A 15,153-nucleotide genomic window follows, 5' to 3' on the forward strand; every position below is an offset into this window, starting at 1 on the left:
AACAAGCATTTTGGGTGAGGAGAGGCACAAGCAGCCCCTACCCTTCTATGATCTTGAATTCAACTGCAAACTGAATTGCCAAACAAGGAACATTTACTCTTATCTCTGAAAAAAAAATTAATTCCCACAGTAGTTCTTTTAAAAACAAAACAGAGAGACAACCCTGGAAATTGACCACATGCTAAGGGATTCCAGGATTTAACTATACAATTCAACGCAGGCGGGCAGACTTTCCTTCTACTAGTCACTGTGAGGTAAGGGACAGGTTGAACAGTCAGCCCTTGGCCTACTAAAAAGAAACAGGCAGACAAAGGATCACTGAATGAACCTTAAACCTATTTGAAGCTTTATTACAACAATAACAAATTATGTGAAGGTCTGAAGTCAGTGACCTGTTTAAATAATCTTTCTTCCTTTCCCCTCCAGTTGTGCCTGGGGACACATAGAATTGGATTCAGTGCCGCTAAGTGATACCACCACTATTCAGTTATCCTCCTAAGCTAATCAGAATTCTCACGTGCCTCTCTTCAGTCTCACACAATACAGACACTGCCCAAATATAATTGGATGGTAGGTGGCAAGGGTTGGGGGGTTATGGTGAAATTCAACAACTGCATAATCGTTCTTTTCTCTAAACAGAAATTGACATTAAGCTTACTGTTAACAGCAACAAGAGCCCAGTGAAGAATTTTATAAAGGCTGTGATTATAATACCATAATACATGGTTACAGAAATTCACACACACACACACACACACACACACACGTGATGGGATAAACACAATTCTTCCATGTGCACTGCAGAATGATGTTAAAGGAATATTAGCATGAAAAAAAGTGAAAAACAGCGTTCTCTACATGTACAGCTGGGACACAGTTAATAATTCTACCAAATCAAGACTTACTACAAATTAGTTCCGTTTAAAAATTACCACCACCACCAACCCCATCAACCACCAATAATTTTTAATTTAAAGGAAGAAATCAAAAAAGCATCTAACTTATTTTGTTCCAGAAAAAGGAGCTACCAATCTGGAAACCTCAACCACTCAGGCCAAGAGGCTTTGATGAGTTTTCCTGTTGTGATGTTACAAGGGTTCTAGTGACTTGTAAAAGCTAACAATGCAAAGACAGGGGTGTGGAGGCGGGCATTTCAAGGTGCGTACCACCTCAAATTCCTCATCTGTAAAATAAGAAGGTTGGACACATTTCTAAAGTTCCTTTGAGGTCCCTTCAATCTTTCTGCAAAAGCTAAGCAAGCAAATAGTATATATATGACAATACTGTATACCTGCATATCCCAAAATGACACTTGTACTTGATTCCATGGAACTCTTCTGATTTTAATGTCACATCACGTTATGTCCACCTCTGAGCAGTCTGAAAGGACTACACCCCCCCACTAGGCTTCCATGCCTTTTTTCAAAGCCAAAAAGAAATGCAAGGACCTCAGCAGGGCAAGCTCACCATCCCGTTACAGAGCACAGAGTTAAGTACACCACCTTACACTTACCTTTAAAACAAAAACAGTAACTCTGAGAAAGTATTCCTGTATCCGAAAAAACCTGTACTTGAACCTTCCATGTAAAGGCAGAACCTCCAAGTTACTGGCCAAAAAGTGGGGAAGAAATCTGAAAATGGTCTTAGTGGTCCCTAAGCAAAAACTGGCTTCTTACTACAAATATTAAAATACAAACATCTAATATCCAGAGGAAAATGTGGGGGTAGAGATGGGGTAGAAAAGTGTGTTTTTGCCCAAATACTACCTAATAGTTCCTGGGAGTCAATACTATGTGCCAGACAACAGTTTATGTTACAGACACGGAAATGGGATGGAATGTGACAGAGAACCCACAAATCACTGTTTGTGCATGTTTGCTATAAATCCCCATTGATTATGGCCCAAGAACTTTAGAAGGAAAAAGGAAAGCTCTCTACTGATCAAATCTCCTTTACCCATTTTACTTTCAACAAACTTCAAGCCAATCACCCTGAACAAAGTCCAAAGTCCTATCTCCTATCTCCAAAACTCTTTGAGTCAGATTTTTAGACATTACTTATCATTCACAGCAGGGTCTGGGCTGTACTCTAGTACAGCCTAGGTCGAGACCAGCCTGGCAACATGGTAAAACCCCGTCTCTACTAAGAATACAAAAATTAGCCGGGCGTGGTGGCAGGCACCTGTAATCCCAGCTACTCGGGAGGCTGAGGCAGGAGAACGGCTTGAACCCTGAGGCGGAGGCTGCAGTGAGCCGAGATTGCACCACTGCACTCCAGCCTGGGCAACAAAAGCTAAACTCTGTCTCAAAATAAAATAAAATAAAATAAGATAAAATAAAACTCTTTCCGTTTTTCAGCCCTCTTTGTGACTTTAGAATTGTGGACATGGGCGGTAAAACCCTGTCTCTACTAAAAATACAAAAAAAATTAGCTGGGCAGGGAGGTGGGTGCCTGTAGTCCCAACTACTTGGGAGGCTGAGGCAGGAGAATGGCGTGAATCCGGGAGGCCGAGCTTGCAGTGAGCGGAGATCGCGCCACTGCACTCCAGCCTGGGCAACAGAGTGAGACTCCGTCTCAAAAAAAAAAAAGAATTGTGGACATGGGACTGTGTACTTGTAGTAATTTTCTTCCCAATAGAATAGATGGTAAGATACACTCTGGACTCTGCTATGCCTCCAGATGAAACGATAAGAAATTTTGTGTATTTTTACAAAACACTCTTACGATATCTGAAATGCATTGGAGTAATTCGTACTTTTAAAAACAATGCTGTAAAATGTGTAATGACATGAAAAGATGCTCAAAAAAGTGAGAAAAGCAGTTTAGGAAATAGTATTACTGCCTGATCCCATGTTTAGCTTTAAAAAGGGGGGTGGATTATCCAGATCTTTCTTTTTTAATTTTTGCTTATCTGTATTATCTGAATTTTCTATAGTGAATATCTAATACTTTAATATAGAAAAAATGCAAAATTCATTTATAAACTGGCAAACTAAACTGGAATGAGAGACGCTATTTAAAAAGTTCTTACCTCCGATGATACAGATATATTACAGGAAAATAAAAGAAGTGTTTCTGTTTTCTGCATTTCCCCTGGTTCCACCAACAGTTAATTGCCACAAACAACACCTGCAGAGCCAAAAAAGGTTTTCAAATGACTATGAATAACAACTGAAAAGTTACCAAGATTTAAAAGATGAAATTTAAAAATAGAATGATTCCTCTCTCACTGAAACAGAAACTATGAAAAAAACTGTTTTGAGTTTTCAAAGGTCATAATTTATCACTAAAACAAAAAAGAAAGACATACTCTTATCTATGATGTCCAGGCAGGACTTGGACCGTGTTTACCAATCTTACCATGCAATACAGTTCAAAAGATTTCTGTGTGTTTCCAAAAATAAACCCACTTTTTTCCCTACTGAGTACATGGAATAGTAAGCTCTCAATTTGGAAGGAGCTGAAATTTTTTTTTTAAAAAAAGCAGCAGTCCCTGGATTGCACTACAACCCCCACCACTACGTGATGGTAAACAAACTGCTTCACCCCTTATGCCTGCAGTCCTGCTTCAGAAAAACAGGGCTGACAGCATCGCCTTGCAAAGTGGTTGAGAATTGGCATGGGGCCTGGCACACCAGAATATCATTATTATTATACTAATGCCATCACTCAGAAGGACATACTGCTTAGGCTGACAGTAAGGTAGCTAATTCACACTTATTAATAAAACACAATAGATATCCCTCTTGTGCCCAACATGGGCAACGTGAACTTTGTTCTCTAAATTTGGAAGGCTCCACAGTTTCTAAGAAAAACCAAATGACAGTTCCAAATGAACTTCTGGAACTCAGCTGCCTACACACGTTACTTCACATCAGTGGTTCTGAGCAGGAGAGTCTTAGAAATCTGTGGGATGCTTTTGGCTTGCTACAATGACTGGGGGAAGCTACAGTGCATACGTAGGGCAGGGGTGTTGGTAGATGTCCTGCTACACTCAAACCTGCTTTGCACACGGAAGAGTCGTCCATAGCATTCCAGAGGAGTTCAAAACGCCTGCCAAACACTGATGTTGGGGAAAACCTGTTATTATCAAAGCCCAGTACCTAGCTCCATTTTACATGTGAATCTAAAGCATGCTTTTTGTGTTCACTGAATTTTTCAGGAATGCAACTTCTATGTAAACTGAGAGCAGAAAGGGCTTTGCATAGTTCAGGATTTTACCAAGACTGTTCACCATTTAGGATAATCAATTACTAAGAGCAATGTCCATGTGGCAGGTAAGTCACCAACATATCACCTTTATCAGTCTACGTTTGTAACTATCCCATTCAGTGATTCTACATAAAGGTATATGGACCTGTTCTGACTGTGCACTTACATACTAAAATATATATCATTTAGTTACAAATTACTTTCTTCCCCCCTCACCTCTATGTTACAATCCGTGCATTAGATTATTTTGAAATTACATGTATAGGAAAACTTTATCATCTATGAATTCCTTTTTAGGAAGAAAAAGGGACATCATAAAATACTTATTTTCTAAAGCACAACTGGGGTCCACTGGGCTGAAAACCACTGCCATAACAGGTGACTTATTTGCCTATATATCTTTCTTACCTAGCCCAAAGGTGGCATTCCTTATCTGCTGAATATAGTTCTGGTCCATATATTAAAAAGGTCGGCCTTGTTACAATGCAGTCATATCATACATACATTTTCTTACCTAAAATACCTAACTAGCAAGTATCAAATGGATATGCAAGAACTAGGATTTTCAGTCCCTCTACCTTTTTCAATGCTGAAACCAAACAGTATGGCACCCCAGGATAAGCATTGGCTTGTGTTATGAGATTCAGAATCTGCTCCCACACTTGCCTTGGAGTACAATCGCCACAATTGGAAATCCTTTCTGTTGCTTTATAGAAAGCTCTGTAACTTAGAAACGACTCCTGGAGTTCACCTTGGCAAAGTCTGCCCGTTGGGCAAGGTGTCTCTGTGGGGACATCCTGCCCTACATATAGGACTGACAGTCATTTGATTCTTAAGCTGAATGTGAGCATTACCTGATCTGAAAGCCGACTTGCTGCTTGCTCAATTTCTGCCCTGGCAGCGATGGACTGTCCACACCAAGGGGCATAGAAGAAGAGCAGTACCACCTCTGAATCCCGTCGAACGTACTCTGCATAATCCAGCTGCCCCTGGAAGAGGTCAAGGACTGGAGACCTCAAGGAGAAAAAGCTGACAGGTGGCTTTGCTGGTATTATCACATCTTTTGCTCGACTAAAAAAGAGCAAACACAGAAAAGATTGCTTAGTTTATCTTCTTCTAAAAATAGCTCTGTGGAAGTAGAATGAAGCTTAAAAGGAAAATCCTCTTTTGAATAAGAAAATGGAGTCCCAAAATCACTGCCCTAGAAAGGCAACATCTGGCTGAGCAAATGCAAGACATGAATAATACGTTGGAAACAATTCTCTGAGATTCTGTCCCCTAGGTGTAGGCTGGAAGGGCAGTGGAGAGCAGAGAAGGATGTCTCTGAATAATCCATATTCCTGCTCCCCACATCCCAAAGACTTCATCCTCCTTTTTCTGCAGCCTGGCTCTCCACAAAAGCCACTTATCTCCAGGGCTTTAGAGCCACCAGCATGCAAGCTCAGAATTACGGTGAGGGAGCATGTAAACTACCATTAACAAGATTTCCACGGGAGATGCTTACAATCAACTCAACTTTGAGAAAACATTAAGCTTATTAGCTGGAGTTGGCTTGTACTTATCCAGGGCATTCAGGTAACAGTAACAATTAAACAATAATATACATTCCTCCAGATATATATCATAATCCTAAGACTAATGAAGATAAGTAACAAAGCAACAGCCTATTTAACTGGAAAATGGGCTTTTTGAACACTTGAGCTTCCCACAAGAAACAGATCAGGAGGAAAAAGAAAAGAACGCTGAACAAACAAGTGGTCAGAAGTAACTTTCCCCATCAAGACCTAAAGATCTAGGCCCAGGCTGCATCCCACCAAGTAGAAGGGCCCTAGTAAACACCCTGAGCTGTCCATGCATCTACACTCACATACCACAAACCATTAGGGCAGCTTTGCTAAGAAACAAATGAGACCCAATTATGCACTATCTAAACGAGATAAATAGAGAACATAAACATGGAAACCTAAAACGCGATGAGATTAACCCCAAAGAAAGTAAAGGAGACCAGGCGTGGTGACTCAGCCTGTAATTCCAGCACTTTGGGAGGCCGAGGCAGGCAAATCTCCTGAGGTCAGGAGTTCAAGACCAGCCTGGCCAACATGGTGAAACCCTGTCTCTACTGAAAATGAAAAAGTAGCTGGGCGTGGTGATGGGCGCCTGTAATCCCAGCTTCTCGGGAAGCTGAGACACAAGAATCGCTTGAACCCGGGAGGCGGAGGTTGCAGTGAGCCGAGATTGCACCATTGCACTCCAGCCTAGGTGACTAGAACAAAACTCCATCTAAAAAAAAAAAAAAGAAAGAAAGTAAGTAAAGGAACAAGAAAAGAACAAAAGCCAGACGGTACAAATGGAAAACAAGGAGCACGAAGGTAGACTTAAACCCAACTACCTCAACAATTACGTTAAATATAAAAGGAGAGGCCGGGCGCGGTGGCTCATGCCTGTAATTCCAGCACTGTGGGAAGCCGAGGCAGGCAGACCACGAGGTCAGGAGATCAAGACCATCCTAGCTAACATGGTGAAACCCCATCTCTACTGAAAAAAATACAAAAAATTAGCCGGGCGTGGTGGCACATACCTGTAGTCTCAGCTACTCGGGAGGCTGAGGCAGGAGAATTGTGTAGGTTGCAGTGAGCCAAGATCATGCCATTGCACTCAGCCTCGGCAACAGAGCGAGACTACGTCTCTCAAAAAAAAAAAAAAAAAAAAAAAGGAAGCAACCTAATTAGGAGGAGCAGACTGCCAGACAGGATAAAGCAAGACCCAATTATGCACTATCTAAACGAGATATATCTTAAATATAAAGACACAGGATAAAGGCATAAGGATGGGAAAAGAAAAACTATGTAAATAGTGAGCATAAGAAATCTGGCATGACTCATGAGGTAAAATGATAAACTGGGGTATATTCTTACCCATTTACTTAAATGTTACTCCACAATAAAAACGAAAAGCAAAACCTATTCATATGTACTATAACTTGGATGAGTCTCAAAATGATTATGCTGAGTGAAAAAAGTGCTAAAGAGTACATGCACTATGACTGCATTTATATGAAATTCCAGAACAGGCAGAAGTATCCAACGGAGCAAGTCACCTATTTATTCACTCAAACTAATATTTTAACCTTCAATCAGAGAGCTTTCAGTCTATGCAGAATGCCTTCATAACCTGAAAAAATCACTTACACAATTATTCAAAAATTCTTTACTGAGCAGCTGTGACTGTGCTTTGGGCACAAGCACTAAGGCTGCGGCAGCTAGCACTGCGTGTTGTCGAGGAGACCACTTTCTAGGGGAGGAAGACAGGAAAAACATCAAATGTGTAAACAATAAAAATATACTAAATGCTCACTATGTGAAAAATTTAACAAGGTGATGTACAGAAGGGCATGGTAGCTCCTCTGATGGAGTGGTGGCTTGGGAGGTGCTATAATTTAAGCTCTGAGACCTGAATGACAAGAAGATAGCCACCTAAGAGGTGGGGAGGGCACTACAGGAAAAAAAAAAAAAAGACACGTTTTCAAGAGATCCAAAATTCTGCTCTTTGGAGAAATTACTTTTCTACCATTCAAACTGCACATGGCCAAGAGTCGTGGCTCACGCCTGTAATCCCAGCACTTTGGGAGACAGAGGCGGGTGGATCACATGAGGTCAGGAGTTTAAGACCAGCCTGACCAACACCGGGAAACCCCATTTCTACTAAAAATACAAAATTAGCTGGGCATGGTGGTGCACACCTGTAATCCCAGCCACTTGGGAGGCTGAGGCAGGAGAATCGCTTGAACACGGGAGGCGGAGTTTGCAGTGAGCCAAGATCACGCCATTGCACTCCAGCCTGGGAAAAAAGAGCAAAACTCCATCTCAAAAGAAAAAAAAAATGCAATGTAAGCATCAAATAATGCAATCTGAGGAAAAATGTAGGTCTGACAGTCAACGAAAGGATAAAGAGCAACTCAGTAATTTTGCTCTGCATATTCAGAAGCATTCCTAAATGAGCCAGATAAAGTACAAGGCCAATCAAAAATCAAATATTGGCCAGGGAGAAGAAACGCTCGCCTCTACTCCATCAGAAACACTGGTGAGTTTCTATTTAACTCATCAATCTGCTTCACGCTTTAGAGAAACTATACATAGAGCAAAGATTTCCTGCAGCTATGAGGGGTATGTCTCGGGTACAAAAAACTCGAGTTGGTTGCAAATAAGAAGGCCTGTTGTTGCTGAGCCAGTAGCATGTGCCTATAGTCCCAGCTACTATACTCAGGAGGCTAAGGCAGGAGAATTACTTGAGCCCAGCAGTTTGAGGCTGCAGCATGCCATAATTGCACCTGTGAATAGCCACTGCACTCCAGCCGGGGCAACATAGAAAAAAGGCCTGTTGAAACCCCAATTTTCCTATGAAATTCACACCCTACATCACTTCCTTGCAAAGACCATTCGAGGCAGCTTTGAAATTACAAAATGGAATAAAGCAAAATAAATACATGTATACATACATATGTATCTACACACAGACAATTTTTTTTCCCTCTAAATCAAGGTAAAAGAAAGGTGAGCAGGATGAAGAGACACAGGTAAGTAAAGATTAGATGCCCAGAAACGCACGATTATTCACTGTGGCTCAACCTCAAATCAACCTTTTCCATATTAGCTGGTTTGAATTCAGCCAAGCCACAGACATTGAAAAGAGCAGACATTTATTTCAAGCCTGGAGCTGTTCATAAAAATTAAATTAAAAAAAAAAATCCTAGGCCAGGCGCGGTGGCTCACACTGTAATCCCAGCACTTTGGGAGGCCGAAGTAGGAGGACCACCTGAAGTCAGGAGTTCGAGACCAGCCTGGTCAACATGGTGAAACCCCGTCTCTACGAAAAATACAAAAATCAGCTGGGCATGGTGGCACGCACCTGTAATCCCAGCTACTCAGGAGGCTGAGGCAGGAGAATCACTTGATCCCAGGAGGCAGAGGTTGCAGTGAGCCAAGATAAAAAAAAAAAAAAAAATCCTATTCTCCCTTAAGCCTATCTCCTTATTAAAGCAAAGATCTTAAAACTGAAAGAGGAAAAGCGGGGGTAGAAATGTTAGCCAGTTGCACAGCAATAAACAGTATCATGACACCATTCAATCAAAGATGACCCTAAAAAAATTAATCCGAGTCTATTAAAAGACTGTCAAATTTGCCAGTGACACAGAAAGAAGATGAAGCAGCAGCCATTTACTGGTTCATTCTCCTTGCCTGAAGCAAGAAAGGATCTCATTCTGCCTACTCTAGTAACTGGATTTACTCTCTTCCTTCCTTTTCAATCTCAAAGGACTTCTGTATCAATTAAGCCATGCTGTCTCAGAACAAACATTAACCATTATTTCTAGACTTTAACAAACCGATGTAAATAAACTTCACCCCTGGAGGGGGAAACCTCTCTTCCTAATTTGAACCTAAATGTCACCTCGCAACACTCTACCTTGTAAAATACTTTGTATACTGTCCTTGTGGGAGACAAGAATAAAGTACAAGGTTAAGAATCTAGGAGGTCCTGACAATAAAGGATTCAAATTCCAGCTCAGCCCCTTATCACGTAGGTGTGATTTGGAGCAGGTTCTGAAACATCACGAAGGCTGGACTCCTTCATCTGTGCACTGGGAAAGATAACAGTATATTCAAACTTTAATGGGGATTGTAAGATTTAAATGACACCCATACTAGGCTCTCAATTATGTACTAAATGAATAAATGCTTCATGGAAACAGTGGTTCCCAAGCAGGCAATTTTGCTCCCAGGGGACATCTAACAATGTCTGAAGCCATTGTAGTTGTTACATCTTGTGGGGTGTGCTACTGGTATCTAGTGGGTAGAGGCCGGGGATGCTGCTAGACATCCTACAGTAGTCAGGGCAGCCCCCACAACACAGAATTATCTGACCCAAAATATCAACAGTGCCAAGACGGAGAAACCCTGCTGACAGTACCTGGCCTATGGAAAATGCTCACTGAGAGTTATTATAATTTATCTTTCCACTAAAATCCCCGATCTTTTGACACCTCTTTGACAACTGGCCACATATCGTGCTAAATAAACTCAAAAATGTTCCGAGGTGAAATCACAGATATCATAGTAGCAATACAGATCTTATAAACTGGAATCCCAAAAGACCCACTGTGGATTTGGGAGACCAGAAGTACACCTGAAATATACAGCAAATTTTGTATGTGTGTACATTCCTGAAAAGACACACATGAACTTTCATGTTCCTACCCCCTACACCCCAGCCTACTGTCAGGCCTTTTTATCAATTCCAGGGAAACACCAAGCTTGCCCAGCCTCAGAAACTCTGCATTTGCTGTTCGCTCTACCGTGGACACGCTCCCCCGGGATCTTCCCAGCGCTGGTCCCTTCTCCTTTTTGTATAAGCTTCAAATGTCACTTCCTTAGGAAGTCTTTCCCCACCGCCATCGTTTCTATGCCCTGCATAGCACTGAAGCTTTAAAAAATTATATTTACTTGTTCACTGTCCCATCCACTCAAGGGAGCAAAAAGTTCACCCGGACGAGCGTCCGGCACATAGTAGGTGCAGATAAATAATCGTTAGATCAGGCCGGGTGCGGGGCTCTCGCCTGTAATCCCAGCACTTTGGGAGGCCGAGACGGGTGGATCACGTGAGGTCAGGAGTTCGAGACCAGCCTGGCCAACGTGGTGAAACTCTGTCTCTACTAAAAATACAAAAATTAGCCAGGCGTGGTGGCGCGCGCCTGTAATCCGAGCTACTCAGGAGCTGAGGCAGAAGAACCCCTTGAACCCGGGAGGCGGAGGTTTCAGTGAGCCGAGATCGCGCCACTGCACTCCTGCCTGGGACACAATGCGTGACTCCGTCTCAAAATAAAAATAATCGTTAGATCAATGAGTGCGGGAATTCTAAAAGGGGTCTGGAACTCTCGCAAGGTTGTGGATCACTACACCTGAAGCTTAAGGGGAATGAAATCGGTGAGAAATGAGGGTCCTACAGCCCGGGCCGAAGTGACAGGTCCACCCCTAGTGACTCCAACAGGTGAGGAGCACCCCCGACCCGCCTCCCTCGGCACTAAAGCGGGACGATAGGGCGCAGGGCTCCACCCGGAAGCCTCGCCATAATGTCCGCGGGCGGGCCGGGGCGAGGAGAAGGTGGGAAGCCGTGGCCGCAGGTTCCGGGAGGGGTCAGCCGTCCTGGGCAAGGTCAGGCCCGACTTCCCCGGCTGAGGCCGCTGCGACCCGGCCCTGCAGGCTCCAGGCGGCAGAGCAAGGGGAGCGCCCTAGCGGGGCCCCAGGGTCCGGGCCGCCTCACCTGCAGGTGAACTTGAGGGCGAGGAGCAGCGCGCAGCCGAGCGCCACGGCCCCGCAGAGCAGCTCCGGCCGCTGGCGCGCCATGAGGAAGGCGCCACGCAGCCCGCGACGGAGCCGGCCCGCCGAGGACGCTGTGGCCAGGGTCGGGCTCGAGCTGAGGCAGTCTGAGCCCGCGGGGCCGCCGCCGCCCCCTCCCTCGTCCTCGGCGTCCTCGCTGCTGCTGCTGCCGCCGCCGCGGCCTCCGCATTCCGACATTACATGCTCCCAGTCGCCGGCTTTATACCGCCGCCGCCGCCTCGGGCCCGAAGGCCCGGCCCGGCCCGTTGCTCCCCAATCCCGCAGCTCGCCGCACCCGCTAACCCGGACGCTCCACGTCAGCCGCGCCGCCGCCGCGGGGTCCGCCCCACCTCACACCCCAGAGCACGCAGCTCCGCCCACCGCTCACGGAGTCCGGGCGGGCACCGACACCGCCCAAATCCCCGCCCCCAACGGGCCACGCCCTGCACCCTACGTAAATGCACGGAAGCCTTCCCCGCCCGCAGCCCAGTCTTGGCCCCACCGGTCACGACCCCGCTCACGGAGTCTGCGCAGGCGCCGTCGCGGGGCGTGGAGAAGCTGCTCCCTTGGGATAAGGCCCGCGGGGAATACTTGGAACCTTGACACCGCTGTAGTCTGCTCTCGCCGCGCTGGGTTTTAGGAGCCGTAACGACAATAATCGTGTCCACCATTCTCACTACAGGCCCCGAAGCACGTAGGTGCCGTTTTTTATCCCAACTTAACTGAAGAAAAAAAAAACACGGCCGGGCGCGGTGGCTCAAGCCTGTAATCCCAGCACGTTGGGAGGCCAAGGCGGGCAGATTACATGAGACCAGGCGTTCAAGACCAGCCTGGCCAACATGGTGAAACCTCGTCTCTACTAAAAATACAAATATATTAGCCGGGCGTGGTGGCGGGCGCCTGTAATCCTAGCTGCTTGGGAGGCTGAGGCAGAGAATTGCTTGAACCCTGGAGGCGGAGGTTGCAGTGAGTGGAGATGGCGCCACTGCACTCCCGTCTGGGGGAGAGAGAGAGAGAGACTCTTGTCTCAAAAAAAAAAAAAGGACTTGTCCTCCAATGTCAATAACAACAAACTAGACAAATAAAACTTCGAGGGCATTAAGGCAATATGGTGTTATGCCACAAACAGAAGGCACAGCTAACGGCCAGTAGCTGAGACGCCACCTCTGCCACAGGTCAGCTATGTGACCCACGTGCAAATCTCATCACTTCCTGTCTGGTTCTGCTTCTGTGGATGTAGAATGGGGCAATCAATGGCTGTCTTGCTCAATTGGCCAGACATTTAATGTGTCAACCACCCAGGCCCAACATGTTGTGAGTTCATGTACACCGACCATTTTGCTATTTCTTTTCTATATGTCACTTTTTTTTTTTTTTTGGTTGTTTTTTGATACAGGGTCTTGTGTCACCCAGGCTGGAGTGCAATGGCGCAATCATAGCACACTGAAGCCTTGACAACCCCAGCTCAAGCGATCCACCCCCGTCAGCCTCCCAAGTAGTAGGCAACACAGATGTGTGCGACTACGCCCAGCTAATTTTTTTTTTTTGTGGAGACAAGGTCTCTCCATGTTGCCTAGGCTGGTCTTGAACTCCTGGGCTCAAGCGATCTTCCCCCTTCGACCTCCCAAAGCGTTAGGATTATGTAAAAGCATGAGTCACTGCGCCCACCTGTCACATCTTTTTGTTTCTTCTATACTGCCTTATTTTGTAGAAAGTAGCTATTTTCTCGTATAACATTAATTCCTTTATTTTTAACTTGTCCCTCATCTCTGTTTTGTGTTATTATTACCCTTATTATCTATGTTACAAACCCAACCATACAGTGTTAATCTTGTTTTAAAAAGCTGAGAAAAAATATATAGTTACAGAGTTTTTTTAACCTTCTAATTTGCCACTTATACTTCTGTTGATTCCTTTGTGTAGATTAGAGTTACACAATTTATTGCTAAAGAAAATAAATATGGTCAAAAGTCACCAGTGTCCTCATTCACTGTAGCTTGCTGCAACAGAATTTACCCTACACTTCCATAAGACATCTGACATTTGCACAGGGCTTCATAAGGTCCAAAGTACTTTCGTTGTCTGTGGTTTAATCTCACAAAACCCATAGTCCTTTGTGAGCAAATGCAAGGCAGTGTCTTACTGACCAGAAAACCACCCTGGATTAACAAAAGAATGCCTCCTTTCCTCTTCACTTTCTGAGCAACTGGGGCCCTGCTCTGGCAGCAGAATGTTCTCTTTTTTATTTTTTGTAGAGATGGGATCTCACTGTGCTGCCCAGGCTGGTCTTGAACTCCTGGCCTCAAGTGATCCTCCTGCTCTGGACTCCGAGAGTCCTGGGATCACAAGTCTGAGCCACTGCAGCTGGCCCAGAACGTTCTTCTGAAACAATTATAAATTTGTTTCAAAATACACTAGGCCTTTCGGGTCAGGCTGTACTACTTTTCATAGGTTAGGTCAGCCCTAACTCGTCCACACCAACTTGTATCTGAGTTTTCCATAGCCACTTTTTTTTTTTTTTTTCTTTGAGATGGAGTCTCACTCTATCGCCCAGGCTGGAGTGCAGTGGCACCAGGTCGGCTCACTGCAACCTCCGTCTCTTGGATTCAAGCAATTCTCCTGCCTCAGCCTCCCAAGTAGCTGGGATTACAGGTGCCCACCACCACGCCTGGCTAATTTTTATATTTTTAGTAGAGATAGGGTTTCACCATGTTGGCCAGGCTGGTCTCAAACTCCTGACCTAAGGTGATCCACCCGCCTCGGCCTCCCAAAGTGCTAGGACTACAGGCATGAGCCACCACGCCCAGCCTCTTGGCCACTTTTTATACCAAGATCAAGTTGCTCGGGGTTTGAGGAGGGAATGGGGCAGAGGAATATATATGTGTCATGTGCTGTGACAGTGGTCCCAGAAAATTATGATACTGTTTTTATTGTACTGTTTCTTTTCTTTGACAGAGTCTTGCCCTGTCACCCAGGCTGGAGTGCAGTGGCACCATCTTGGCTCACTACAACCTCCACCTCCTGGGTTCAAACAATTCTCATGCCTCTGCCTCCCAAGTAGTTGGGATTACAGGCGTGTGCCACCATGTCTGGCTAATTTTTGTATTTTTTGTAGTGATGGGGTTTTCCCATGGTGGCCAGGCTGGTCTCGAACTCCTGACCTCAAGTGATCTGCCTGCCTTGGCCTCCCAAAGTGTTGGGATTAAAGGCGTAAGCCACCAGTCCCGGCCCACTATACTTTTTCTATGTTTGGGTAAATTTAGATACACAAATACCACTGTGTTACAGTTGCCTAAGATATTTAGTATAGTAACATGCTGTACTGGTTTGTAGCCTAGGAGCAATAGGCTATACCATATACTATATAGCAATAGCCTAGGCGTGGTAGTAGGCTATACTGTCTAGGTTTGTGTGAGTGTACGCTATGGATGTTCACACAACACTGGTATCACCTAACAATGTTATTTCTCAGAACGTGTCGCTGTGATGCATGGCCATGTATTTCCTCAATATTAACCCTTCCTTGCAGCCAGAGAGAACTAATGCTTATTAATTTTGATTTTTTTTTTTT

At 44.7% G+C, this 15,153-nt stretch overlaps 1 protein-coding gene and 1 long non-coding RNA gene across 12 annotated transcripts in view, besides 3 other annotated features; one reads left to right on the forward strand and one right to left on the reverse strand.

Annotated features, from left to right (window-relative positions):
- The window catches only part of TXNDC11 (thioredoxin domain containing 11), a 63,775-nt gene extending 51,868 nt beyond the window's left edge, over nt 1–11,907 (reverse strand). For 10 of the 11 annotated variants that reach the window (NR_136674.2, NR_136673.2, NR_136672.2 and 7 more), the window contains exons 1-3: nt 11,527–11,907; nt 5,067–5,283; nt 3,032–3,129 (exon numbers count right to left, since the gene is read on the reverse strand). Coding sequence is in view for 5 of the 11 variants with exons in the window: in NM_015914.7 (NP_056998.4) it covers nt 3,032–3,129; nt 5,067–5,283; nt 11,527–11,780 (569 nt within the window). In the remaining 6 variants the exon portion in view is untranslated. Of the gene's footprint in view, nt 1–3,031; nt 3,130–5,066; nt 5,284–11,526 lie in introns of those variants that run through there. The other variant, XM_047434191.1, reaches the window with a different exon arrangement.
- Nucleotides 11,355–12,024: a silencer, noted in NCBI's record as "silent region_7208". NCBI's record gives its function as "represses an Ori minimal core promoter by ATAC-STARR-seq in GM12878 lymphoblastoid cells {active_cell/tissue: GM12878}" and the evidence as "EXISTENCE:reporter gene assay evidence [ECO:0000049][PMID:35858748]".
- Nucleotides 11,355–12,409: a biological region, named in NCBI's record as "ReSE screen-validated silencer GRCh37_chr16:11836693-11837215".
- Nucleotides 11,887–12,409: a silencer, noted in NCBI's record as "fragment chr16:11836693-11837215 (GRCh37/hg19 assembly coordinates)". NCBI's record gives its function as "represses an EF-1alpha promoter that drives an FKBP-Casp9 reporter gene in an ReSE screen in HepG2 liver carcinoma cells {active_cell/tissue: HepG2}" and the evidence as "EXISTENCE:reporter gene assay evidence [ECO:0000049][PMID:32094911]".
- On the forward strand, nt 12,064–13,556 carry TXNDC11-AS1 (TXNDC11 antisense RNA 1). Its single transcript, NR_186412.1, has one exon. It is a non-coding gene; the product is annotated as a TXNDC11 antisense RNA 1 (long non-coding RNA).
- The last annotated feature ends 1,597 nt before the right edge of the window (nt 13,557–15,153 follow it).

Source organism: Homo sapiens, chromosome 16, assembly GCF_000001405.40.
Source record: "Homo sapiens chromosome 16, GRCh38.p14 Primary Assembly".
Classification (NCBI taxonomy): Eukaryota; Metazoa; Chordata; class Mammalia; order Primates; family Hominidae; genus Homo; species Homo sapiens.